Source organism: Homo sapiens, chromosome 6 (genome assembly GCF_000001405.40).
Source record: "Homo sapiens chromosome 6, GRCh38.p14 Primary Assembly".
NCBI lineage: Eukaryota > Metazoa > Chordata > Mammalia > Primates > Hominidae > Homo > Homo sapiens.
Genome location: NC_000006.12, coordinates 90,772,475 through 90,799,146, shown reverse-complemented (window position 1 = coordinate 90,799,146; position 26,672 = coordinate 90,772,475). Strand labels below are relative to the sequence as shown.

General features: G+C 37.5%; 1 long non-coding RNA gene across 1 annotated transcript in view, besides 1 other annotated feature; it reads right to left on the bottom strand.

Moving 5' to 3' along the window:
• LOC107986623 (uncharacterized) overlaps nt 1-26,672 on the bottom strand; it is a 324,476-nt gene that overhangs the window by 156,725 nt on the left and 141,079 nt on the right. The gene's annotated exons all lie outside the window — the stretch shown is intronic.
• Nucleotides 18,532-19,076: an enhancer, noted in NCBI's record as "OCT4-NANOG hESC enhancer chr6:91489789-91490333 (GRCh37/hg19 assembly coordinates)". NCBI's record gives its function as "activates a minimal SCP1, AML or CMV promoter by ChIP-STARR-seq in primed H9 embryonic stem cells {active_cell/tissue: H9 hESC(primed)}" and the evidence as "EXISTENCE:reporter gene assay evidence [ECO:0000049][PMID:30033119]".

Below are 26,672 nucleotides of genomic sequence, written 5' to 3'. Positions count from 1 at the left end.
ATTACTTAAGACTTCAGAAAAATAAAAGAAACCAGGACACTATCACTGTGACCACATCAATCACTTCAGAACAAACGATATGGTGGAATGGAAAGAAAATGGAGGATGGTGAGAAAACAGGAGGGTGAAGTCTCCATCCATGCAGAAATGAGGAGAGGCTGCTGAAAGAAACTGCCCAAAGACAAGCCAATGAATAACTCAAGAATAACTAATGTTATGTATGAATTACAAGTACCCAGGATTCCTCAGAAACTTCTAATTCTAATTAGAATTGAGAGAGTTGACTCTGAAAATGAGTTATGGTAATCAGTTTCCTATGAGACTTGAGTCCCAGGAAATCAAGAGTTTTAAACTATTCATTGACTCATTTCATAAGAAAGATATATATTTAAATCAACTTGGATTTCTCTGTTGATCCTATTTTACACAAAGAGAAGAAAGAATGAGAGGGTGAGATATTGAAGCATACAACCCATATCTGATTAGAGACTAAGAATTTAAGATATGTTTTACCATTAAACCCCTAAAAAGAAATATCGTTATTTTTCTATCAGATGCTGCTTGAGCACAAGAGCTCTACCTCATTTAGTTTTCCAATTACAATAATTAAAAAACATGTAGGTGGACTTGCTTTAGTCCAAGCTTATCCAAACCATGACCTGTGAGCCACATTCAGCCCAAGACAGCTTTGAATGTGGCCCAACACATATTCATAAACTTTAACGAAACATTATGAGATTTTTTTTGTAATTTTTTAAATCTCATCAGTAATAATATATTTTATATGTGAGCCAAGACAATTATTCTTCTTCCAGTGTGGTCCAGAAAAGTCAAAAGATTGGACACTCCTACTTTAGTCTCAAACGTGAGAATATTTATCTCACACATACAAACATACACGCTTCTAATCATAAAACAAAGCCACTCCATTTATTGTCAGTCATTTATTCAACAGATATTTATTTATTGAGGACCTCTTATGTGTTAGACACTGAGACTAGCAAGGTAACTTCTAGTGGAAGTGTGCTGCTTACAGTCCCATCCACGGCAATCTTCCAGGTCTACAGTCCTTGCTCAAGGAACAGACACATTTTGTTATCAGATGGCTCCCAAAGCCCCACCAAAGCTGATTGGCCATGGATGGTCCCTGACACAAGGGCAGCCACTCCAGAGGTTGGCCAATAGTCTGGCCTGAAAGATTAGCAGAAACCAAGAGATTTACCCTCAAGAAATTTAAGGAGAGGATCCTAGGAGACTGAAGTCGTCCACTGTGAGAACTGAAATCCATGAAGTAAGAGGGCATCAGAATAGTCACAAGGCTGAAGTTCTAAGGAGGCTGTCCTGTGAATCTATAGAGGAATCCTTCAGGAAAGGAGCATACATGCTGCCTCAGCAGAGAGCTGCAAATGTGACCACAAGACCCTAAGAATACCAATTCCCCAGAGTTGCCTCACTTCTGATCACTTCCCGTCCCAGTCCACCAAAATTTTAATAATGAACAAATCTCCTTTTTCTTGAGGTATTTGTGTTTCTCCTCTCAGTCCCTGAATGACAAAGCACAGGCATCAGACAGTCATATGCTCAAGATAGCAACAACCCATTTGAAAAATTAAAAACAAACAAAAATCTGGAAAAAGCTCACCCCAGTATTAAGTCAAAATTCAGTTTTGATACAAGCATTGATATGTCAGGCCAGAAACTTAACAATCTGTTTTATATGCAAAACTAGGACACCCCCTACATCCCTCCCCAGTGAGCCTTCTGCTAGTTGTTTAGATCTGCGGAGGCACTTCCATTTGAATCTGTACCTCCCCGTCAGGTTCTGGTCTAAACTGCATAAATCCCCCACATTGCTTACCCTGGAGTTATGAACAGGAAATAAAGGCAAAGCGGATGGCACCTAAGCTAGCAGGGAGACTAATGTAAGTAAAACACAGTATTGTACTGCGGAACTTGTAATTGGTTTTAATCATATTTAACATCTGTTTCTCTACTTTAGCATATAATTTAGATGAAGCAGCTTAGAAATCTCAGCAAGAATCCATATTTTACATTTATTGAAAGAGGAGCACTTTCCAAGTGATCAAATTGCTCTCCTAATTCACTCATAATAATGTAGTAATTTGGAAAGTCTTTTTTATTTTCCTCATGAAATGTTCTTAATTAGTGGTCCTAGCTAGTAAAGACTTCCCATCTGCCGTAAAGGCAATGTAAGATTATCAACCCAAGAAAACTTCTCAGAATTCTCCCCTCCTTGGATATGTCTCTCTCCTCTCTCTCTCTCTCTCTCTTCACTTGGCCTCTACCTTCACCTTGCCAGTGAAATTGCTCTCTGGAAGATCACCAACTACCTCCTACTTGTCAGGCTTAATGCAGCATCCTGACTTCGTCTTTCCTCCTACTTCTCTGAACATTCCATCTCTATCTACCTCAGAAGGAGAGACCCATGGCCCCTGGTCTAGGTCAGGGACACAGATATGTTCTATTTGTTCTGCACAGTGGTTTTTAAAGTCTGACTTAATGTGTTACAATTCCTTGATTCCCATCACAATCTAGATTTATGACTTCTCTTGAAAACTCAAAAGATCTGCAACACTGGGCCCCCTCATTAAAACTGTGTCCCAGTGGACCCCTTAAAACAGACCCACCCTCCCTAGTGCCCCCACAATTCCCACCTTTTAATAAGTAGGTGAGGATGTTCTGACCCCAAGCTCGCCTCCCAATTAAGTTACCTTCCTGACTCCGGTAGGTTTTTCCTACTCCTGATCCCACAAAGCCTTCAGCCACATCCCTTCACCTGCAGTGGATATTTGCCAGTGTTCTAACTTCAGCTTTCTTATTCCCTTTCTCTTTTCAGGAATCCTACTCATTTTCATTGCTTCAAATATTACCTGCTTTGAGATGATGCTTAAGTGTATACTTGAATCTTTAGCTCTCTTCTCGGCCCATACCCAAATTCCTAACAGCCTGCTTGTCACCCCCACTTGGAAGCCTCACTCACAACTTAAATTCAGCATACTACAAATTCATATCATGAACTACTCCATCTTGCTTACCCCACAGACCAGCTTCTCCCAACTTTTTCATTTATGTTATTTCTCTTTTCCTATGTCACCTGGGCCTCAAACCTCCAAATCGTCTTTATATCTCCCCTGTTTCGATAAAGCCAGTGCAAAGCTGTGTAAGTGGTGCGTCTGCAAAATCTCTTGAATGCCTCGCATGCCCACCACCACAGTTCAGCATCATGTCATCATAACTTCCTTGGCCATACAGAGCCAAGTCCTAAACTAGCTGTTGAATTGCTAGGCCATTTCCTAGTGGGACTACCTCAGTCTCTATCTCTCCTTGCATGTTTGAACCCTCTGATGCATTCTACATGCTGCTACCAGATTAATTTTCCAAAGCACAGCTCTGTCCCAGTTAGAATATGTTCTTGTTTTTTCCTGACTGCCAGCTATGTGAAGAACATCCACAGTACGGCCCAGTCTACCCTCTCAGATCCATCTCCTCACTAGTCTGGTGCAAATATCATGGTGCGCACAAACTAGGCTACTCACTGTTTCCTGCACACGTGTTATATTCACCCAACTCTTAGTTTTTCTTTATACTATTTCCTCTTCCAGCAACCATTTCTAATTTCTATCCTCTCTGCCTTTAGAAACCTACTGACTTTTCAAGACCCACGGCAAAATCCACTTCTTCATTGAAGACATCCCTGTGTTAACTTTTCCCTAATTTCCATATACATTAATTGTGCTATCAATTTATTACTTGAGACTCAACCAGGGGTGACCTAAATGTCCATGACATGGTGTAATTTATCATTTGAGTTGCATACATAACAAGGCTATTGAGTAGGAGTGAGTCGCTCCTTTTGTGAATTAGCCCAGTCTGCACAAGCCTACACAGCCTTGTCCCCCTGTCATACATAATCTCATTGGACCCACACTTAATAACAATGAACTGTGAGACAGATATTATTGTCTCTCCTTTTACAAATGAAAAAGCCAAAAAAAAAAAACAGTTGACTGTGGTAATATCTAGGTATGTAGGGATTCCAAGCTTTCTAGACAATGAGGAACTTACTGTACTTTGGGTAAAGCATGAACTCCTTAACTCAAATGCTTACAATCATTGTGTCTTTGTCCAATTTGTTATCTTAGATTGTATTTTCTTAGAGCAAGCTATCATAATGCCAAGCACATAGTAGGCATTCAACATATTACAAAATGAAATTGGGGGAAGTTGATTTTTCATGTTCAGCTTTTTCCTAAAATTTTTGAATTTGGAATAATTCAATAAGCATCAAAGCATGAAATGTGCCATTGGAAGCACACAATTTCAATAAAGAGTCAAGTGGTGTTCATTCCTGCTTCTCAAGGAATAGAATGTGAGACACAAGAAGAATCAGTATCATAGGCCAACCCCCTCAGGGCAGATGGGTTAAAATCTCCACAGTGCTCAGAAGGCCTCTTGACTCAGCTGCTCTAGGGAGTAACTGGATGGAGACCTTTCCTGGGGACTAAAGCCCTGATGAGGGAAATTTACTTTCAGCAGGATCCACTTAGCCTGATGCTCCTCATTCTTGCTTCCTTCTGCCATGGCACATTTTCTTATTTAAGCTGTTGGCATTTGAAAGGTCCCTCTGAATAACTGATGATTTTCTGGAAATATGCAAAGAGCATTTTTGCCAAGAACAGGAGCCCCATTTGGGGAGTTGGTCAGATTAGAAATTCAGTTTCAAGTCCAAATCCCTTTCAACCTGAAACCTTCTGTCAGCTTGGAAAAGGAAGGCCAGGCCTGGTCAGCACTTGGCAAGGAAATAGCCATACATAATTAGGAAATATTTTTTAAGTAACAAATATCACTCATTTCAATGAACAAAAGCGGCTTTGGGAATAATTGTCACTGTCATTATTCTTTTGTAGTGCACAATCACTGTATATGATATCACTACATAACAAATCTCATGTCCCTACATAAGCACAAAGAATTAAGGTCATGTCTCCACTTTATGTGACTTTTTATAAATCGTTTACCCATCGCTGAGAAGGTGCAAAAACATATTGTTAAAAGTACTTTTTAACCAATGTATGGGGGAATAAAGGAAAGAGCAAAGGATTATGACCCCTTTTCTCATGCAGACAGTTTTGGCACATAGTTGTAACAAAATGTTGCCTTTCCAGTCTCCATTTATAATCACAATAGACTTGGTCAGTAAAGGGATTCTTTCTTTGTCAACTGTGAGTGAGACTCCTAGTCTTCAAAGTTTATGACCAGTTAATTCCCAAATACAGACAATCTATGTTTTTAGCTGCCATTAGATCAGGGTTTCTTAACCTTTTCTGAGCCATAAATCCCTTTGGGAGTCTTGGGAGTCTTCTGTGTTCGTTCCCAGAAATGTTCCTAAGAGCATAACCCAAAATAAATGAGATCACTAAGGAAGCCATGTATATCACAAGATATATATCATAAAGATACTTGTGTAACTTAAGGTATAGTAATCTATGTGCTTGTTAATATATTAAATAACAGGACATAGTGGATTTGTCTATTAACAAACATAATTTCAAAGCAGAGGTGAGAATACATGGTACATCAAGATAGCGGCATCAACAATAATATGATATTCAAAAATATTGAGCCAACGTCACAAATACTGCTCCTTGCTGCGGTGGGTTTTGTTTTTTGTTTTGGGAGGGGGTGGGGCTTGGCCTACATTCATAATAGATAAAAATGTGAAATTTTAGTTAAAGTTCAGTAAAATTGCAGATGTAAATATGTTTCATCCAAGTTCACAATTCTTTGGACTTTATTCTCATGAAGAAAAGATGCATATCCTTTTAATTAGCTTGGCTGGTTATTTTTAATTCCTCAAGATTTTTAGAAGCTTTATACTCACCTTCAATTAATACATAGTATGTGTTTGTTGGTCCTAACACAGGCATCATGAAAGGGGCCGGGAATAGGGTTTGTTGCCTGTATAGGCAGACTGCAGATCTGTAACTCTTTCTTCTGTTCACTAAATTAAGTGATGCACATAAATATTTTTCATTGTACATCTTCCCTGTTAAGATTTTCATTAAGTCTGTAGATTCTTATGTAATGTTAGGATTATCTGATTTATTTGTTTAGACTGGAGAGCTCCTATTTAGCATGCTGTAGTGCTCAGTAAAGGGCTTATTACAACAAGCAAAGATTTAAACAATCATTTTGTAATCAGCAGGCCCTCAAATCACATCTTAGCTCTAAGCCAAGGTACAAATCAGTGGGCTTATTGTGAACAAAGCACCCCATTTATTAATATAATCCTTTAAAATTATTCATGGGGTGAAATTCTTATTAGGCTCTACACAGAATCTGAATAACACAGGTGTGTATTTTTAATGAATTACTCCAAAATATCTATTGAGAGAGTACCTGTTCTTTACTAGATATTGAGGAAAGTCAAAGAATATGAAATGGACTCCTTCCTACTTTCAAGAAGTTGATAATCTAGACGTAAAAAGAGGAAGGTCTTAGAAATTAGAGATGACAATTTAAAAGTCACAGTCTTACCTACATTGTGTTCCACTACCCAGTTGTGAATGTTAAATAGGAAGTATGTCTTCACCACATTGATTGCAGGCAAATCAGATTGTATGCAAGGGAGGTTTTCCTAAAGAGGTATTTCAAACCTTGCAAAATTCAAGACTAATTTTCTCAAAGGAATAAATTTAAATAGGATATTTCATTCTCTGAGTGAATACCACTACACTCATGATAGTCTGGGGGCACATTATAGGGAGTTCATCATACAGCCACATCTCCACAGTCTTACCCATTTTTTCCCATTATCCTCAGCTGGATATATGATGACTTTAAAGAATTTGAAAGGAGGACTGCTTTACTATTCCTTCTTTGTTTACTCAGGATTATCTCTAATATTTCCCAGAGTTCTTTCTGCCAAATAATTGAGCAGTAAAAATGGTATTTTATCACATCTCAATTATGTTGCAAGGTTACTACTTTGGAAGGTAGGAAAAAAAAAAAAGAGGATTCATAGCCCGAATGCTAACACCACTGCTTGATAAAAGTTTGAATGATATTTCTTTTGGCTCTTCATATTGTTTCATTATAATACAATGAATTTTAAATAGTACATTTTGACACATGGTACAAGGGCCTGGTTCACATTTTTCTGACAAAGAATGAGTGCCTCTTTTCTTTACCAGCTAAAGTGGCACTGCCAACCAACAATAGTCAATGCATAGTTTATAGTTTACTCAGGCCAACAGCTTTGAAGTGGTATAATTTTGGCAAGTATTTTTTAATTTGGAAGGCTTTTATCTCAAAATTTGTATATAAAATGAGACATTAATATTTTATATTATAGCACTTCAAATTTACATAATTCACATTCATATATATGTAAACGAAATTGCATTTATGGTCTAAATCACTATTGTAATTACTTTTTAATCATCATTGCCCCAGCCACATTTAAACTTCTCACATCCTCAATAGTGGGGCTATATTAGCAGCTTACAGTCATATAGCATTTAAGATTTGCAAAACATTTTCTCCTATTTTATTTCATTTGAGCATTATAACCACAATGTTCAGTAGGTAGGAAAGTTAAAATAGATTCTCATTTGAACAAATTGAGGCTCATCAGGCTTCTTTCCAGCAAGTCATGGAGCCAGAATACAAACTCGGAGTTCCTGATTTTAACTGTGGAGAACTTCTTCACCAAAAATGAAAGACATCAGGAGAGGAGGTAGGTAATTAACTGGCAGGTAAACAAACAGTAACTGCTACGATGATTTGAAAAGGCACTGGAAAGTATAGTGGTCAGGAGGGTTTTACAAAAACAAAACAAAACAACTGGTGTCTGAGCCATTTTGAGGGAACTGAGCAGGATCACTGAAGGGCACAACTTGGCTCAGAAGATCGGTATATGCCAGAGCAAGTGTGAGAGACCGACAGAGAGTGAGAAAAAGAGAAAGCAACAGTCTTTCAAAGAAGACTATCACTGACAGAGCTTCAGCTGGCTCACCGATGGAGCCATAACACAGTCATAACACACGGCCCAGAGAGCAGCTGGGCCATAGGAGCCACAATGTGTTTCAGACCTGGAGAGTGAGGAGGCCTATGTGTGGCATGAAAGCCTGTGTTATGGAATGAGAAATCCAATGCTGGCCCAAAGATTGTTCAGCCTAGTTAAATATCCTTTTGGGTAAAGCAAGCCACTCATCCTCTGGGAGCTTCAGCTGACGTGTCTGGAACATGACTGTTGCCTTGCCTGGTTCACAGGAAACTGGATGAGTAAATAAGAAAGCATTCTATGGAAGGATTCTGTGGACTCTAAACTACTTTAGAAATACCAGGGGGCACCAATGCAGAGTATAACAGAATGCTAGCTAATGAGGGAGTCCTGTGTGATGGCAGGCTGCTATAGGTACTTAGGAAAGAGCAAATAATAAAACCCCTTGTTTCCCCATATTCCTGATACTTGCTGGTATATTTTTTGCAGTTATGAAAGTACTACATGGTCACTGTGAAAGTTATTCAAACAGCCCAGGAATTAAGGAAGTAGAAATGATTTACCCTTCTCCTCCTATCCCATTCCCCCAGAAAAAACACTGTCACCAGTCTGGTGTACATTCTTCTGTAGGCCAAACATCTTCAGCAGCATAATGACAGGAAGGGAACAAAGTACAGATGCCCATCCTCAGTTCTATCTGAGGAATGAGACACACTCTCTACCCTGACCTTGGCCCTGGGCTGTGCAGTGTAATGCAAGTGTTAATGCTGACTAGAGTCGCGCCAAATGCCTTGCATGTATCTCAGCTGCTTTACTCAGGCAGAACTGGAAGTCTTCACTATCTGGTCACCACCTTCCCTCTCTGACAAAGAAGATGAATGGTTTGCTGTCTTCAGTCTGATTAGTGACCGTTTTAGCCAGCCTGTGGGATGTGGCCCTTTTTCCTCACCAGCACAGGCATGTCAGAGCCGGAGGAGCCTTGGCCAGCTCGAGGCTGCTGCCTTGTAAATCAAGCCAGCGCAATTCGATGCAGAGAGCAGGACTTCCCAGAGAGAAAGTGGACTCACTCTGCCAGGGGTGCTCTCAACTCCTGATTTATAAATCACTTCCTGGAAAACCAGGTGCAAAATCCAGGTTTGTAAATCAAGTCTTTATTTAGGATTTATTGGCACGATTTTAAAATCTGTTTCAGGACTTGTAAATCTATATTAGGATTTGTAAACCCATTTAAGGATATGGAAATTAATTTTTGGACTTATAAAACACTAAAAACCAGTTGGCTACAACTACCATTAAAAAGAGGAGAGACTTATAAATCAAAAGCAGGCTGCTAAAATATATGGGCAGGTTCCATAAATTAAACCCTGAGTTTTTAACTTCAAGTGAGTTTAGATTTATAAATCCAACTTGTGAATCATCCAAAAAGTACAAGATTTCTATTATAATTTGAAATATTACAGGGCAGTATCACTGCTGATGCCCTATTGATTAGTTGAATATTTCAAAATAATGGTAAAAATGTATTCAGATTACAAGGACTTGATTTATGGAACCTATAGGTGTTCTCCGAAAAAACGACGGGATAGGTGTCTATGCTTCTATCTGGGCTGCACTGAGAGAGCTGAGAAAGTCTGAGACCATAGACTAGCTGTAGTGGTTGCGTTTATATGTCCTCTTGACTGTGCTAAGGGATGCCCAAATAGCTGGCAAAATATTATTCCCAAGTGTGTCTGTGAGGTGTTGCATTTGAATCAGTAGACTGAGTGAAGAAGATCACCCTCACCAATGTGGGCAGGTGTCATTCAATTTGTTGAGGGCCCAAATAGAACAAAAATGTGAAGGAAGGGCAAATTCTCTCTCCTCTTGAGCTGGGCCATCCATCTTATCCTGCCTTGGACATTGGAGCTTCAGGTTCTCAGGCCTTCAGACTCTGAGACTTATACCAGTCCTCCTTCCTCACCTTCACCCTACCCTATCCCTCACCCCTGGTTCTCAGGCCTTCAGACTGGGAATGAATTACACCACCAGATTTCCTCTGTCTCTAGTTTACAGACAGCATATCGTGGTGCTTCTCAGCCTCCATAGTCCTGTGAGCCGATTTCCAGAATAAATTCTTTCTCTCTCTCTCTCTCTCTCTCTCTCTCTCTCTGTCTCTCTCTCTTTCTCCTCTCTCTCTTGAAAGGGGTGCCAGGGGTGCCCTCAACTCCTGATTTATAAATCATTTCTCACGAGAGAGAGAGGAGAGAGAGATATATATTATGTTGGTGCAAAAGTAATTGCGATTTTTGCCATTACCATTGACACTATTGGTTCTTTTTCTCTGGAGAACCCTGACTGATGCAATGGGCATAGCATGGCAAGAAAATCCCTATATTAATTCTGAAATTCCAGGTCACTTTGGCTGTGATCTGGAGTCTTTAATAAATGTTCAGTCTCCACAGTGCAAGCCAACCTCAACATTTTATCTATTAGATCTCATTCTATGTTACACTTCCTGAGTAAAAACATTGCCCAAATAGGCTGGTCACAGTCACCAAAATTGTTCCTATAGAGAAGTGGTTCTCGAACAGGGAAATTTTGCCTCCCAGGGAAGATTTGGCAATGTCTGGTGACATTTTTGGGTGTCATCATGGAGAAATGCTGCTGGTGTCTAGTGGGTAGAGGCCGGAGATGCTGCTAAACATCCTACAATGCACGGAGCAGCCGCTCACGACAAAGAAGATCTGGCTGAAATGTCAATAGTGTTGAAGTTGAGAAACCTTACCATTAAAGAATATTTAGCACAAGCCAGCATAGGATGACCCCATCAGGACTCCTCCATCTCTGATTCCGATTATTCTACCATTCAGGACAACCCAGGAGCCTTTCCCTATTTAGTTAATCCGAAAGGAAAATATGTTCAAAATTCATAATGCAGTAAATATGAGAGATCATATTACAAATATATTTTGCTACCACAAGTGTGCTCTATATTTGATCAACAGGTCTTTTGCAGAAACTGAAGTTATAGCATTTAGTGAAATTATACTATTTGAAGAGAGAGACTCCTTCATTTTATTTGAAAACAAGTACGTGAGTTAGGAAGGGAATATAAGGCAAGAATTCTTTCTAGCTTTGTTCGACAGTTTTATAAAGCAACCCCATGTAGTGAACTCCTAGGGAGCCTGAGACCCTTTTGATTACATGGTGTTTGGAATAAAATAAAACAAATCCCATGTTCTTTTATTCTGACCTGAAAACGATTTCTAAATGATCGCCTTGGGTGTTCTTTCCCTCTACTTATTGCTGTGTTCTTCCATTTGAATTACTGCTGAGCATCACCTCAGAAGCCAGCTGAATATTGGCCGATTGTAAGAAGGCAGTCTCATAGCGAGATTATAGCAGCTCTCCCCAGACTTGCTCTATCTGTGGGCCGAGCCATTATAAGAACCCTAAAGATAAAGACAGGACTCAACATTCAAATGGTGCATTTGAAGCACACAGTGAAGTATATTGTGTAAATGCAAATGAACAGAAATATGGCATTGTAAGAGCTCAGCCACTTGTGCAATTAGGAAGGAAATCAGGCTTGTAGAGTGCAGCATCCAGCTGAGCACTCAATTATGCACATGAAAAAAAAGTTTAAAGAAACTTGATGTGGTGATTTGGGTCTTTGGAGAGTTTAAATCCAAAATATCTGAGATGCAACCGGTATATAAATAACTGTAATCATGCCCCCCCACCTTCTACCCTCTGCACACATTTCCCCATTGACCTATAAGAATGCATATTATTCCCCTGACTTAGACAATGTTTTAGTCCATTTTAAAAACCACAGCTCTAGCTCAATAGCTTCCAAACTCATTTTCCTTGCCACAGGGTCCAAAAGTATCAAGCTATGTGAGGCCAGCAAGGGCGGGGGAGTCTCCCATCAGGTCATTTGCGTTGTTCATAGCAGCTTAATATATAAACACAGATTTTAATGGATCAGGAAAATACTGAATGTCTTGCAATTTCATCATTATATATGAGATGGCACTAAGCAAACATAAAATTTGATAGAAGCAGTGGTCTCATTTTATACTGTTATATTATTCATTATCTAATAGGTGAATGCGTAAGAAAAGGATATAGGACATGTTAAGGCTGACCTATGAAACAATTCAAAATAATAGATATTTTTTATCAGATAACACACTCCTTCTCTTACTATTCCCAACTTCTGCCCAATAAGCTTCCTTCTGCTGCCTAGGATGTCCCATATGAACCAGTCCTCCCTTAAAAGTATATAGACCATTTCCATGATCCTTTTCAAACTCTTTTCTGTCCAACCACAGCTGCTAGAATTTTTAGGTATAGCCTTCAGATCTCAATTCACCCAGCAAATAATCATTCAGCCAATATTCATTGTGAAAATAGGCCTTCTTCGATTCTGTTAGATGATGGGATAGAAAGATGAATAAGTCACCCTCTAATACCAAGGCATTCACATTTTAATGAAATAAACAGACATTGCTAGGTTTCAATGCTACCTCCCCAAATCATGTTGAAATTTATTTGCCATTCTAACAGTATTGAGGTGGGACTTTTAAAAGGTGATTAGGTCATGAATGGATTGGGTTACTTATCAAGAGAGTGGGCTCCTGAGAAAAGGGTAAGTTTGGCCCCCATTTTATCTCTGCCTCATGTACTTGCTTGCACTTCCATTTTCCACCATGAGACAATGCAGCAATAAGACCCTCACCGGAGTCTGGTACCATGCTCTTAGGCTTCCCAGTTTCCAGAACTATAAGCCAAATAAACTTATTTTCTTTATAAATTCCCTAGTCTGTGGTATTCTGTATATCAGTAGAAAACAGACTAAGATGAATGTGTAATAAATAGTCACAACACAACCTATCCCATGTGCTGAAATAAAGACACTTAAATATATATAGGAACACAGAGGAAGGTGGTAAAATCTGTAAAAGGTTACAGTGCTTAAACACATTCTTTATTTTATTTTACGTTTATGTTTATGTTTATTTTTTTTTTTTTTGAGACAGAGTCTTGCTCTGTCACCCAGGCTGCAGCTTGGCTCACTGCAACCTCTGCTTCCCAGGTTCAAGCAATTCTCATGCCTCAGCCTCCTGAGTAGCTGGGATTACAGGCATGCATCACCACACCCAGCTAATTTTCGTATTTTTTTAGTAGAGACAGGATTTTGGCATGTTGGCCAACCTGGTCTCGAACTCCTGGCCACAAATGATCCATCTGCCTCAGCCTCCCAAAGTGCTGGGATTACAGGCGCGAGCCACCGCACCCAGCCTTAAGCTAATTCTTAAAAGATGAATAGAGTCTAAGAGGAAGCCAAGCAGAGAAGCGGTAGGAAGAACATTAAAATGAGGAAGCAGCAGAGTCAGACATGGTTTCATAAGGAGGTCAATATTCAGAGTATTCAAAATAATTTGGCATAGCTAGAGCAATTGTTTTCAACCAGGAGGAGAAACAGAAGTAGAGTGATGATTTTACTTCAGTGAGGAGAAGGTGGTGTCTGAATCACCTGGGGAGACTTAGAAAACTACATACGCTGTGTTGGTCAATTTTATGTGTCAACTTACATAAACCGTGGTGCCCAAATATTTGGTCAAACATTATTCTGGATGTTTCTGGGAGAGTTTTGGGATGAAATTAACATTTATGGTAGATTTCAAGTAAAGCCAATCACCCTCCGTAATGTGGGTAGGCCTCATCCAATCAGTTGAAGGCCTAAATAGAAAAGACTGACCTCCCCCAAGCAAGAAGAAATCTGCCACAGACTGCCTTCAGACTTCATCTGCAACACTGGTTCTGCCCCGGATCTTTGCTTGCTGTCCCACCCTACAGATCTTGGACTTGCTGGTCTCCATAGTCTCATGAGGCAATTCTTTAAATGAAATCTCTCTCTCTGTCTACACACATACTATTGGTTTCTTTTATCTGGAGGACCCTGACTAATGCATGTGCCTAATCAAAAAATCACAAAAACGGGGGCCTGGGCTGCATGTGAAGAACTTTGAGAAATAAGATTGGAGAGGAAGGCTGGTGGAAATAGGACAACCAGATAATCAAATATTTAAATACTGCCAAGCCATTAGTAAGATGTTTTTTGCCTTGTGTATTCTTCTCTTTTCCCTTAAAATGCATACCCAGAGAGATACCTTATGCTTTTCATTGGTTTGGCAAGTGATATCAACCTTATAATTGCATTCTCTCATGACACTTCATGCAATAGCTCAGGTAGTACAAAAGAAACAAAAGAGAAACTAGGGATCTGGAGAGTCTGATACAGTTTGGCTGTGTCCCACCCAAAATCTCATCTTGAATTGTAACCCCCATAATCCCCACGTGTCAAGGGCAGGACCAGGTGGAGGTAGTTGGATCATGGGAGGCGGTTTCCCCTTTGCTGTTCTAGTGATAGTGAGTCTCAGGAGATCTGATGGTTTTATAAACATCTAGCATTTCGCCTGCTTGTACTCACTTTGTCCTGCCACTCTGTGAAGAAGGTGCCTACTTCCCCTTTGCCTTCTGCTATGATTGTAAGTTTCCTGAGGCTTCCCCAGCAATATGGACCTGGGAATCAATTAAACTTCTTTCCTTTATAAATTACCCAGTCTCTGGTATTTCTTCATAGCAGCGCGAGGACAGACTAATACAGAGTCCATAAACCATATCGCTAATTTCCAGACAATTCAATATTGATTTTATTAAGCTTTTCTTGTCATCAAGACTTATTTGCTTTATGAATAGTCAGACACAGAGAACTTAAGAAAACATCATTAAATCATGTCCAACTAGACTAGCTAAATTTAGCACTGAAGTATGGCTTTTAGGGAATGATCTCAGGGATGTGTTATATATATATACAATATTTTCTCAAGTTTCTTTAAAAAAATCTTACTTCTTCATATAAACTTATTTCCAGTTTCTCTCAGGGGTTGGAAAAACATCTTGATAACTACCCAAATCTTTCCTGTAAAGTCTTTCTGGTCCTACTTATGTCAAAACCAATAAGAAAGTAAATTTATGTGGAAACAATTCATGTCAGAAATGCAAAGGGGAGAAGACTGAGAGATGCCTGCCCTCAGATTTTTCAGAGCAATAGCTCTTTAGACCAGAGGCATGTAAATTGGTGTTAGTCTTCCCAGGCACCCTATGAGAAGGCTGGAGGGCTTTCCTCGGTGAATGTTGCCTAAATCTTTCATGTCTGCTCAACAGAAATTTCAGTTTATGAGGGAGGAAAATTATAAATTGAAACCCGCTCTTTCTGTAAAACTCTGGTCATAATGTTCGGTGAAGTGATAAATGAATAGGTTTTTACAGGCAAACTACAGTAATTAGGTCATTCCTCATTTCTTTATTGGAGGCAGACCTAGATGTTTAATCATCATTATGCAATAATTTGATTTTAGCAATGCATTACTGTTGGAAATATTATACATTTACTTTACCTCCCTCACTTTTAAAGGTGGGGCTGAAAGGAAAAGCAAAAAACCTTTAAATCATGTCTGAAGTTTAAAGAGAAATAGGACCCTAATTTTAAATGTCAAATAGTTTAGTACCTTTTTCTGATTTTCACAGTAATACTATATGATATGCTAATAATATTGTAGAAAATGTCACAAACACATAAAATATAAGAAAAAAATTAATATAATCACCCACGATCCCACTTTCCAAGAAAACCACCATTGTTAATATTCTGGTTGAATTTCCTTTCAGCCTTTTTTCTTTGAGAATTTCATTTTCAAAATAATATTCACAAAATAACAAGATTAAGCCTAGTATCAGACACACAGAGGCATTCCAACGAAGGCAGCAACAAAATATGATTATTTTAAAAGGCAATCTTGGAAAACTTAGAAAGCGTTTTCATACTAATCACAGACCAGGCATGGCCACAATACAGAATTAAGTTTTTCTTCTTATCTTTGTGCCTGAAATCAACTAGGGGAAATGAATAAACACAAATTAAGAACTTTGAAGGAATAAATATCTTCAAAGAGCTTGAATCTGTAATTTCCCCAAAGAACAGATTTATGATCTAAGCCCATTCTTTTCAACTTAATGCATCGACTCTTCCATAGGCTGGTAAAAAGCAGTTCAGTAACCGCATCTTCCATCCTCGGTGATAAGACCTCCTGCAATAGGATCAATAAGACCTGCTTTCATAGAACTTTTTTTCTTATCCCATAACCTCAAAAATCATTTTGTGCCACAATGATCACTACAGGGAGGAAAATAAAGAGATGTTGAATCTATCAAAGTTTTTCATAGCAAGGCTGGTTTATTTCAAACCATCACAGCATGGCGGTTAACAGCTCTGGAACAGCCAAAGGATGGAAGCAGAAGTAAAAAAGAAACTCAAAGATCCTCTTCTTTCTTTACAGGAACCTTCAAAGTTAAAGGAGAATAAGATTCATATTCCAGGCATTTACTACCCAATTTGGCAACGGGAATTTCAAACCAGGTTTATTTTTTAAATTTCACTCTTCACTACAAGGGAAATTTCTAAAATAAGCTGGAATTCAGCATTAATATGGGAATTGTTAATAAGTGGGATAAAAAGAAAGTTCCAAGCCCAATTAAATTTGGGAAGCGATAAACGAATACATTTATTTTTGCAGTATTTCTCAGGGTTGTAACTATGCCATTTACACTGTGAATCTCCCAGAGAGAACTTAGTAGATAGTATTCCCCACATTTATGTTTTCATTTTTCCCCTGCTCTGAGTTCCACAGAACTCATTTTGAGCAATAATTGTTTTGTAGGTTTCTGACCACCCAAATAGAGTAGGTCTGAGTTCCACAGTCTGTTTCTTATGTTTCTTACAGAGGTCATTCTTATAAATACAAAGTCACATTTATAAATGACTTAATTGGGATGAAAGCTTGCAGCATAGCATTTGGGAAAATATCTCTGAACATGGAATCAGTGGTGTAGGGAACAATGACCACTATATCACTTTTTAGGTCTATGACCTTGGACAGATTATCTAACCTTTATGAATCTTGGTTTCTTCTCTGTGAAATGGAAGCAAAAGTTTTGCCTATCTCACAGGATTGTTGTGAAGATCAAAAAAAGCTACTCAGAAAACAGAGACTAAAGAAAACTGTGGGGAGTTATTGTAATTGTGGCTAGAGTCTGCTTTAACATTAAAACACATTGTCTTTGCTAGATGTTTTCAAATAAGTTATTTTAAAAAGGCTCTGCATCTTGTCCAGCAATTCCTTTTCTATTTTAATGTCTCACAGTGCTGTTTTATCCAAAAATTTTTTTCTGCGTCTTGACTAAGAGATTGATGATATTACATTAAGGTAGAGAAGATCATAAGTATAGTTGAAGTTATCTTATAGAAAGTGTGTTCATTGATGCAGATGTACATATTAGAAGATAGAAGACTCTTACCTATGCTACATTTCTGCTAGAATGATATTTATATACACGCTTTAGTTAAGTAGCAATTTGGGTCAAAATAGTCTAACCATCTAACATGTTAAAACAGTGCAAGAGTCTTTATTACTGAGATAAGTAGATAACGATGATTATCAAAAAGAAATACTCCCCCAAAAGCTAACAGGCAAACCAAGAGAGATCAGAAGTAGAAAGTGTGAAGCAAGGTGATAAATCTACTCTCTCCAAATAAATAATGTCTAATTCCAAAATAGCTTTATTGCGTTTTAAATAGAAGGCCGAGAATGCAAGACCTGTATTTTTCCCAATTCTGTTTGCAACTAGAGGAAAAGTTTTATCAGAATGAATTTTGAGGCAAAACTATATTTGAATATTTTTGCTTAAGTTGTCATTTAACCACACGGTTTCTACTACAGCAAGACTGTAGGTCTTGCTCCCCGTTGTTTAAGTCAGTCTTCAAATCTTCCTTTCAAAATATCCTTAATTGAAAGCTGAGTGTACTTACCCTGGGAACCTGGAGGCCCACCTCTGCCAAAGCAGTCCAGCATAAATGTGAAATTTCTTTAAAGTCCTATGTTTTGTTTATCTTAAAATGCAGGGAAGTTGTTCAGTATATTCCTAATGCATTTGTGCCTATTTGAATACAAAACACATTTCTTATCATTAAGGAAATGAGATGCTCCAGGAAGGTGTGCAGTGTGTATATGGTATGCCTTGAAGGACTACCTGGCATGCACTGAGTGTGAGGATCCCAGTAAGTCATCGGAAAATCATCCACGCTCAGCCCTTCAATTTTAGCAATGATATTAAGCCCTTTCTTCCATGTTATCCAAAGACATACTACGAAGATAAAAAATATATTTGCTTCTTTAAGAAAGAGAATATCTGAAATTCACATCTGGGTTCTTGTCATGCAATAATAAAGAAATTTTTTAAATGGATGAAGAGCTATAGTGGTGAGACTATAGCATTACTTCATGCTCCAAGCAGAGTACATGAACTTAATGAAGCTAATGCTTCTATGTTGAACTGAGAAAATTTCTTCTTAATGGTTTTTTTCTCATTGTAACTTAAATTTATGTCAAGGAATCTTACATTTCCCTAAGGAAACATGTTCAAGGTTTTTTCCTTCAAATTTCATTGATATACAAACTCTCCTAAGTCCTATCATGGGAATGCAAGCATTGTGCCTTGCCTTTCAAGAAAAAAAAAAAAAATCTTTGTAGTATTTGCTCAAATCTAAAACTGTTTGACATAAGATGCTTAGCCCAACAGTATCTGAATATGGTGCATTAAATGCTATTTATAAAAAGTAAAGCTATGCTAATGTGCCTATCTGCCCCCTACTGCTTAACAGTATTAAAGATTAAAGCCAATTGTTTTGTAAACTGAAGAGGCTGTAATGGTTTCTTGGGAAGTGCTCCCTGTCAACATTCCAGATAAGATTGCTATTAAGTTTTTTTGCTGCTAGGATGGCTGGTTTGGGTCATTATACACTTAAATTGAGTTGCTGTCATTGTTATATAATGAAACGAAAGAGACTTTGGCCTATACTAATGTGGTGTGCCTTTTAAAGAATGGGTAGCACTACCTGATTTATAAAAAAATGGGTCTGGCTGGGAGTGGTGGCTCACACCTGTAATCGCAGCACTTTGGGAGGCTGAGGTGGGTGGATCACCTGAGGTCAGGAGTTCAAGACCAGCCTGGCCAACATGGTGAAACCCTGTCTCTACTAAAAATACAAAAATTATCCGGGCTTGTTGGTGGGCCCCTGTAATCCCTGCTACTCAGGAGGCTGAGGGAGGAGAATCGCTTGAACCCGGGAGGTGGAGGTTGCAGCCTGGGTGAAAGAGCAAGACTTCATCTCAAAAAAAAAAAAAAAAGTCTGTTTGCATTCTCTTACCAAGCTTCTGGGTGTTTCAAAGTGATTTAGATGAAATGCCCAAAGAATTTTCAGGTATATCAAAGACAAATAGCTGAGTTTTGCATTAACCTGCTTTCAATAATCATTGAAATCTAATGAGTGATTATAGGGGGTAGCAGATTCATGGTTCTTTTTTCCTCTCGTAATTTAATTATGTCTCACTCTGTAGTGGGGTTAGTCAAGAACCTGGATTTTTCATAATCCTATAAATTACTTGTTCAGATTAAAGACTTGTTGTCCTGATCTCTTCATTCTAAGCATGTTATTTGAGAATCCTCTTACTGACTTGAGGAAGCTATGCATTATTTTAATTTTTAAGTGGGCCAAAAAGTCACAAAAGAAGATGAAAGCTGACATCACATTTCTTAGGTTTAAAGTCTTTTTCCTTTCTAATAAAAACTGAAAATTCCAACTAACCTTTCCCTCGTGAAAAGTAATTTTCTCCTCCCTTTCCCTAGTTTGTGCCATCTTAGCACACTAATTATGGAGAAGGAGGCTAGTGACACTTTCAAAATATTTATTTATGGCTATTACCTATGTTTTCAAAGTGTTTTCTCTTTCTCCTCACATTTTTAAAGTATACACATACTGAAATTCCCTTTTCTTATATTACATGTCAATCCAGGAGAAATATAATAATTTTCTTAATATTTTAAAATTAGAAATTAAAAAAAAACTGAACTGAATTTAAGAACTCAACAGATCAACGGATTTGGTGGCAATGCGGATCTTTGCCATCTCCAATTCACGGCAATGTGAATTGCTTTGTTAAAACTCCAAGTCAGCAATATTTAAATTTAAACTTGCATGGCCACTTTTTTTTCATTTATAGTATTCTCTAAAATTTGAAACACTCATGCATTTTGAATTGATCCAATAGCTCAAGAATACCTGAAATTCTAATCATTATCCCTTTTCTGAGTTTTTTAACACTTCACATACCCTGTTCTTCTTCTCTGGGAGAAATATGTTTTCCTCCCCAGTGTATCTTTATCTTCATCTGTGTGCTTCAAACAGCAGAGAAAGGACACTCAAATGCTTAGAAAGGGTTTGCTTTATTATGTGACTCTATTGAGTCTGAAAATGTTGCAATCACAAATAACCCTCTGAAGATGCTTGTATACTTAAACAGACACATGACTTTTCCTAGCAATGGAAAGCAATTTACGGCTTTTTCTATTGCTTCAGAAGTCCTTTAGAAAATAGTACTTGCAAGAATAATGTTATAGCACACAATCAAAGAAGACATATCTTTAAGGATTAACTGGCTGTCCAGACTCTTGTAACCATGCCAGCTAATGTTGGTCAATAGCAAAAATGCCAGTCCTGTTGGCAGCACACCTCGTCAAGTGAATGGGGCATCTGGTTGCAGTATGGTGCTGGAGAGTGAGCATCAGTGGTGCAAAAATCACCTTTGGTACCTCATTCAGGTCTGAACTGGGACCCCGTGTTGTTTCACATTTTTATCACAATAGTTCTGTAGGAAGATGCAGCTTCTTGCAATCCAAGCCAGTCTGGAGAAGATGGACCCCTACGCAGAATTGAGAAAACCCACAAAAACCAGGCATCTGTATTTTAGAGATTCTTTTCCACCCTATGTCCCAAGTTATACCTTTATGATCTAGGTTCCGAGGTAAACTATTTAGGCTTAGTGCTAAGGTCTGTGTCATAAGCTGGTGTCATGGCATGGAAATTAGCAGCCAAGTGGAGTTTTATGTGTGAGGTAGCCACTCTTTCATAGCCAGTATCAAGACTATGAAAACGTAGGACTGACTCCCATACACAATTTTATTTCATTTTATTCATCAACAAACCCAATTTGTACTAAATATTTGGAAAGTTGTACCAATATGGTTTCTGCCCTCAGATAAGATATTAATGATGCATTATTTATGAAATCAAAGTAAAATTACATTAGTCATAAAATACTTATAGAACAAGATAAGAACCTGTACTAGAATAATAATAACATATCACATCACATACTTATATAATGTTTATGGTTCTAAGAATTTTATGTATATTAATTCATTTAATCCTCACAACAAACCTCTAGGGTAAGTTCTGTCATTATTTGCATTTCCCACGTGGAGAAACTGAGACCCAGAAATGAATGAGTTCTCTCAGTTAGTGGTAGTAAATGAGATTCAAACTCCAGCAGTCCATCCCCAGAGTCTGTGTTCTCAAACTCTCTGCTCTAAGTAGATTGAAATTGATAAGGAAGAGGTAGAAGGTAAGATGAGACAGGAAAGCAGGGAAAGAGGGTGAGACTGTGAGGTCACAAGCCTGGCTGGAGTGAAGTGATCCTAAAGGGGAACAATAAGAGATCACTTTGAATGGGTATAGGGCTACCAGTCATTGGAGGGTTCTGAATGCCCTGTGGAGAGTCTTTTGATCAGAATGTCATTATGGATTTCGGGCATTTAAATAAAGTAATTTAAGAAAATATATTCTAGCAAGACAAGTTCTCATAGGGAGAAGCTACTTTGAATATAATCAAAGATATGAACACCCTATGAAACAATTTGGCATTACCTTGTGATGCAACATTTACACACTCAATGACTTAGTTTTTCCACTTATAGTATCAATCTTTTCTTTTTCTTTTTTTTTTTTTTTTTTTGAGACGGAGTCTCGCTCTTTTGCCCAGGCTGGATTGCAGTGGCGCTATCTCAGCTCATTGCAAGCTCTGCCTCCCGGGTTCACGCCAGTCTCCTGCCTCAGCCTCCCTATAGTATCAATCTTAAAGAAATCCTTACACATGAGTATCAGCAAGTGTGTAGAACAACATTTGTTCATGATAGTAAAATGCTAAAGATAAAATTAAATAATTTTCAACCAGAGAATGAAAAGATAAATTACAGCACATTCACACAATGAAATAGTATACAGTAGTGAAAAATAAATGAACTGCAGCTATACTCAACAACATAGATGAATTTTAGTAGCATGATGTTGATAAGGCAAAACTAGAAGTCTTCATTGTCACATGAGCATTTTATAAAATCCTGGAACAAGTAAAACAAATATATATTATTTAGACTATATGTATGATAAAAACTATTTTAAAAAATAAAACAAGAGAAAGATAAATACAAAATTGAGCTCAGTAATTATGTCTGTTGGGGAGACCAGGGCTTAGAATAGAGAAAGAACATGTAGGCAGATGTAAGTTATTTTCAGTGTTCTATCCCTTGAGTTAAGTGGTGGTTCATAAATGTTTTGATTTTATTAATAAATAAATGTCAAAAAAAAGGAAAAACATTCAGAATGATCCAGATAAAAAGGAAAAGAAATGAGAGTAAGACAGAAGAAAAGAGGGAAGGAAAGAAAACCAGCAAAGGTGTCTTCAGTGTAATGGTGACTATGGAAAAGGATGACCTGGAAATATCTCTTCAGCTTCTGGAATCTTCTGGTTCCAAGGTCAGTTGTCTGTCTACGCTTCAAAATTGGTCTTCTCTAATAATCTAAGTTCTGTGATCAAATCTTACTCATTTTTATACTGTTCAAACATCTAACTTGGAATTTTTATGTCCTCAAAAATTGTAAGGAGAATGAATACAAGTGAGAGAAAAAGACACCTACATGGCCAAACCACGCAGATGGGCCTCAGAAATCACTGTCTCCTGACACAGAAGTCTCTTTGGCAACGTCCCTGGCTTTCTCCTTCTGCTAGAACACATCTAGTAATGAGTAAATCACTGTTTTGAAATACCTTGTCCCATTGTCAAACAGAATGGCTAGAAATGTCTTCTTTATGTGAATCCCAAATTGATGATAATAAGTAGTTCTTCTCCGTAAGACAATGAAAATCAGTCTATTCTCTTTCCCAGGAAACCACCTTTCAAATATTGAAGAAATATAGTAAATCTTTGTAATTTGACTTTTTTTTCCCGAGATAAGCCTTCCTAATCTTTATAACATGATTTCCAGGCCCTATCCTTTTTGGCACCTTCTCTCCCAGTGCTCTCCAGAACAATCAAATTAAAGCACAGTCTCCACAGTCCCCAGAAATGAGCTCAGTTTTTCCAGATGAGACCTGACCAGTACAGAGTAAAGAGGACTTAACACAACTTTTTTTTAATCTGAAGCCGATGCTTTTAAATTTGCTGTGTGGAAAGAGGTTGGCTTTAAATCTAAGAGGCAAAGAACTGGAGTTGAAGGCTTAAACACAAGCAAATTTTCCTTTTCTCAGATGGATTATTTCATGGATATCATAAAAATAACAATATGTGATCTGCAAAACTGTTTAGAGTCTATCAAATGCTTTCATGGACATTATCACATCTAGTGTTTGCAGCACTTTCACGGTCAGGTGTTAGTACCCCCATTTTCCAGTTGGGAAAACCAAAATCATGGAACAAGCAAGAGAGGGAGCCAGAGCTAGGACTCAAGTATTCTCACCCGATAGTCTAGCACTCTTTCCACAGAAGAAAGCTGCCTCAAATAATCAAATCATCGTTAAATGCCTGGGCTCCCTCTAAACAACAAACGAGGAAACAAATTTTGCAACAGAGACCTAAATACGTTATTGACTTTAAAATCAATAAGAAAAAGACAGGCAATCCAATAGAACAATGGACAATGAATTCAACTGCCAGATTCACAGAAAAAGAAACACCAGTAGCCAATAAACATGTTTTAAGATGCTCCATTTGATTCATAGTTTTAGAATGCAAATTAAAACAACAGGAGGCTATTATTTTTCACTAACCAAATTGACAAATTTAAGAAAAATAATTATAATACACAGTGCTAGTGAGAGTAGGAATAACAGAAACTTACTGAATGAAAGAATAAATTGATTCTTAATTTATTAGGAATTAATATTCTGTGAAACAGAATTTATTAAGAATTAATATTCTGTGAAACAGAATTTATTAATTCACAGAAAGTGAAAGTGAACTCTACTACAAATTTTTGAGTGGCTGCTATGGCTTGAATGTGTCCCCCAAAAGCTCACATTTTGGAAACTTAATTGCCAATGTAACAGTTAAGACGTGGGGCCTTTAAGAAGTAATTAGGTTCTGAGGGCAGAGCCCTCTTAAATGGATTAAAGGCCTTATCACAGGGAGTGAGTTCTCATAAGAGCAATTGTCATAAAAGGGAGCTCTGTTCACTCTTGCAGTCTCTCTGTCTCCCATACTCACTTCTGCCTTCCACCTTCCACCATGAGATCTTCAACAGATGCTCTTGGACTTCTCAGTCTCCAAAACCATGAGCCAATTAATTTTCTATTCTTTATAAATTACTCAGCCTGTAGTATTCTGTTATAGCAGGAGAAAACAAACTAGGAGAGTGGAAATTTGTCAGTACCTATTTAAATTTGAATATGTTTATCCTTTGGCACAGCAATTCCACTCTTAAAATGTGTCCCTAAGGTATATAAGTGTGCAAAAATATCTGTCCAAGGATGTTTATTGTTGCATTGCTTACATTACCCAGTAAATGGATACATTCTACATGTCTGTCATTAAAAGATTATTAAATAAAACACAGTACATCCACACAATGGAGCACTGTGCCATTACTAAAAAGATGAAGAATGTCCATTTTTAGTCTACAGAAATAGGTCCATGTAATATGAAGTGAATAAAGCAAATTGCAGAACAGAATATAATACAATTTCACATGTGAAAGAATACACATATATGAGGTCATTATGTATATCTATTCATACTATATCAATTATATACATATATACACACACATACATTTATGAAAACAAAACATCCAGAAGAACACAATACATAATGTAATGTCTAGAACATTACAAAAAGTGGTATACAATAGTTTCCTTTTAAAACAGAAGTCCATCAGCTCTATTACTTTTTATTTACTAAGCAATTACTTTGCATCAGGCATTACACTAAGCAGTTCATACACTTTACTTTGAATAATCCATACATTAAAACACATGTGAGTTAAGTGTTAATATCCATCCTTACACTGAAAGTATGACCCAAACCTGCCAATGTTATGGTCCATTGCCTCCACCAGGCTATAAGGGATGCACATGTTTAGCCACCTGATGGTAAGAGAAATCAAAATAACAACAATTCCAATTTTAGAGGACTCCAAGAGGCATGAAGTTTTCAAGCTCACAACCAATGGAATAGGAGAGCAGGGTATTAAAATTATTTCATCTTTGCCATTGAAGCCAAAAATTGACTATATTTCTAATGTCTAGGAAGTGTCGTATATTTTAGGTTATGGTTCACCATTCTTAAAAGGTCCTGGGCATCCTGAAGAGGTTTTCTCTGAAAATAAAAGTTTCCTACAGGATTAATTTCTCTTTCCATCAACCGTCATCTAGAAAATATTCAGGAGACTTTAGATTCTGAAATGCAGTCAGGGCAAAAATTATATATATCAATTGAATGATTGATTAAACCTATTATAGGCAATGAGATCACTTTGAAAAAAGCACCAGGAGAGAGAGTGGAGATGTGGGAGAATGCTTGAAATCATGTGTCTCATCTATTCATGTGTCTTTTTGAAAAATGGAAGGGATAGATCACCATGTGAAAGCACTCTTCAATATTTAGAGGATGTCAATTGAAGGAGAGTTAAATTTGCTTTCTTCCATTCCAAAAAAAATTTTTAAAAAAAGAACTACATCCAATAGAAACCAGATAAAGATTTCAGTTCAATATATGAATAACTTCTTAATAAAATTGTCCAAATGGAATGGACTATTTCAAGAAAAAGTGAATTCCTCATCTTTTAAAATTTAAACACAGTCAGGATGACCAGTTGGTAGAATGCTACAATAGACTTTTATGAATTGAACAGTTCCTCAAATTTGATGTCCTTTGTATGTTCTTGCACATATTTTAGCTCAACTTCTATTCTCTTCTATATCTTGTTTTGTTATTCAAACATAGCAAAGCATGGGTGAATCTGTGCATATAGTTATCTAAACATTAAAAATAGAGAAATAAAAGTTGACATTTACTGACTACTTATTTCATGCCAGGCACTATTCAGAGTGCTTATGCATTAACTCACTTAACCACATGAAAAAGGAATCAGTTTCTAATACGATCTCCATTATACACATGAGGGAACTGACATAAAAAGAGGTTAAGGAACTTGGCCAAGGTAACATAACTACTAAGTGGAGAAATCAGGATTCAGCTTTAGTCTGTCAGGGCACTAAACAAAAGCATAAGGCTCTGTTAAAGAAAAAAGCCTATATTCTCAACTCTATGTTGATGACTAGGAATGGTATTTTCTAACTTAAAACAATGGAATATTTCACCAGTCAGAGGTCTACATAGAATACATATCCCTTTAAAAAGTGCATCA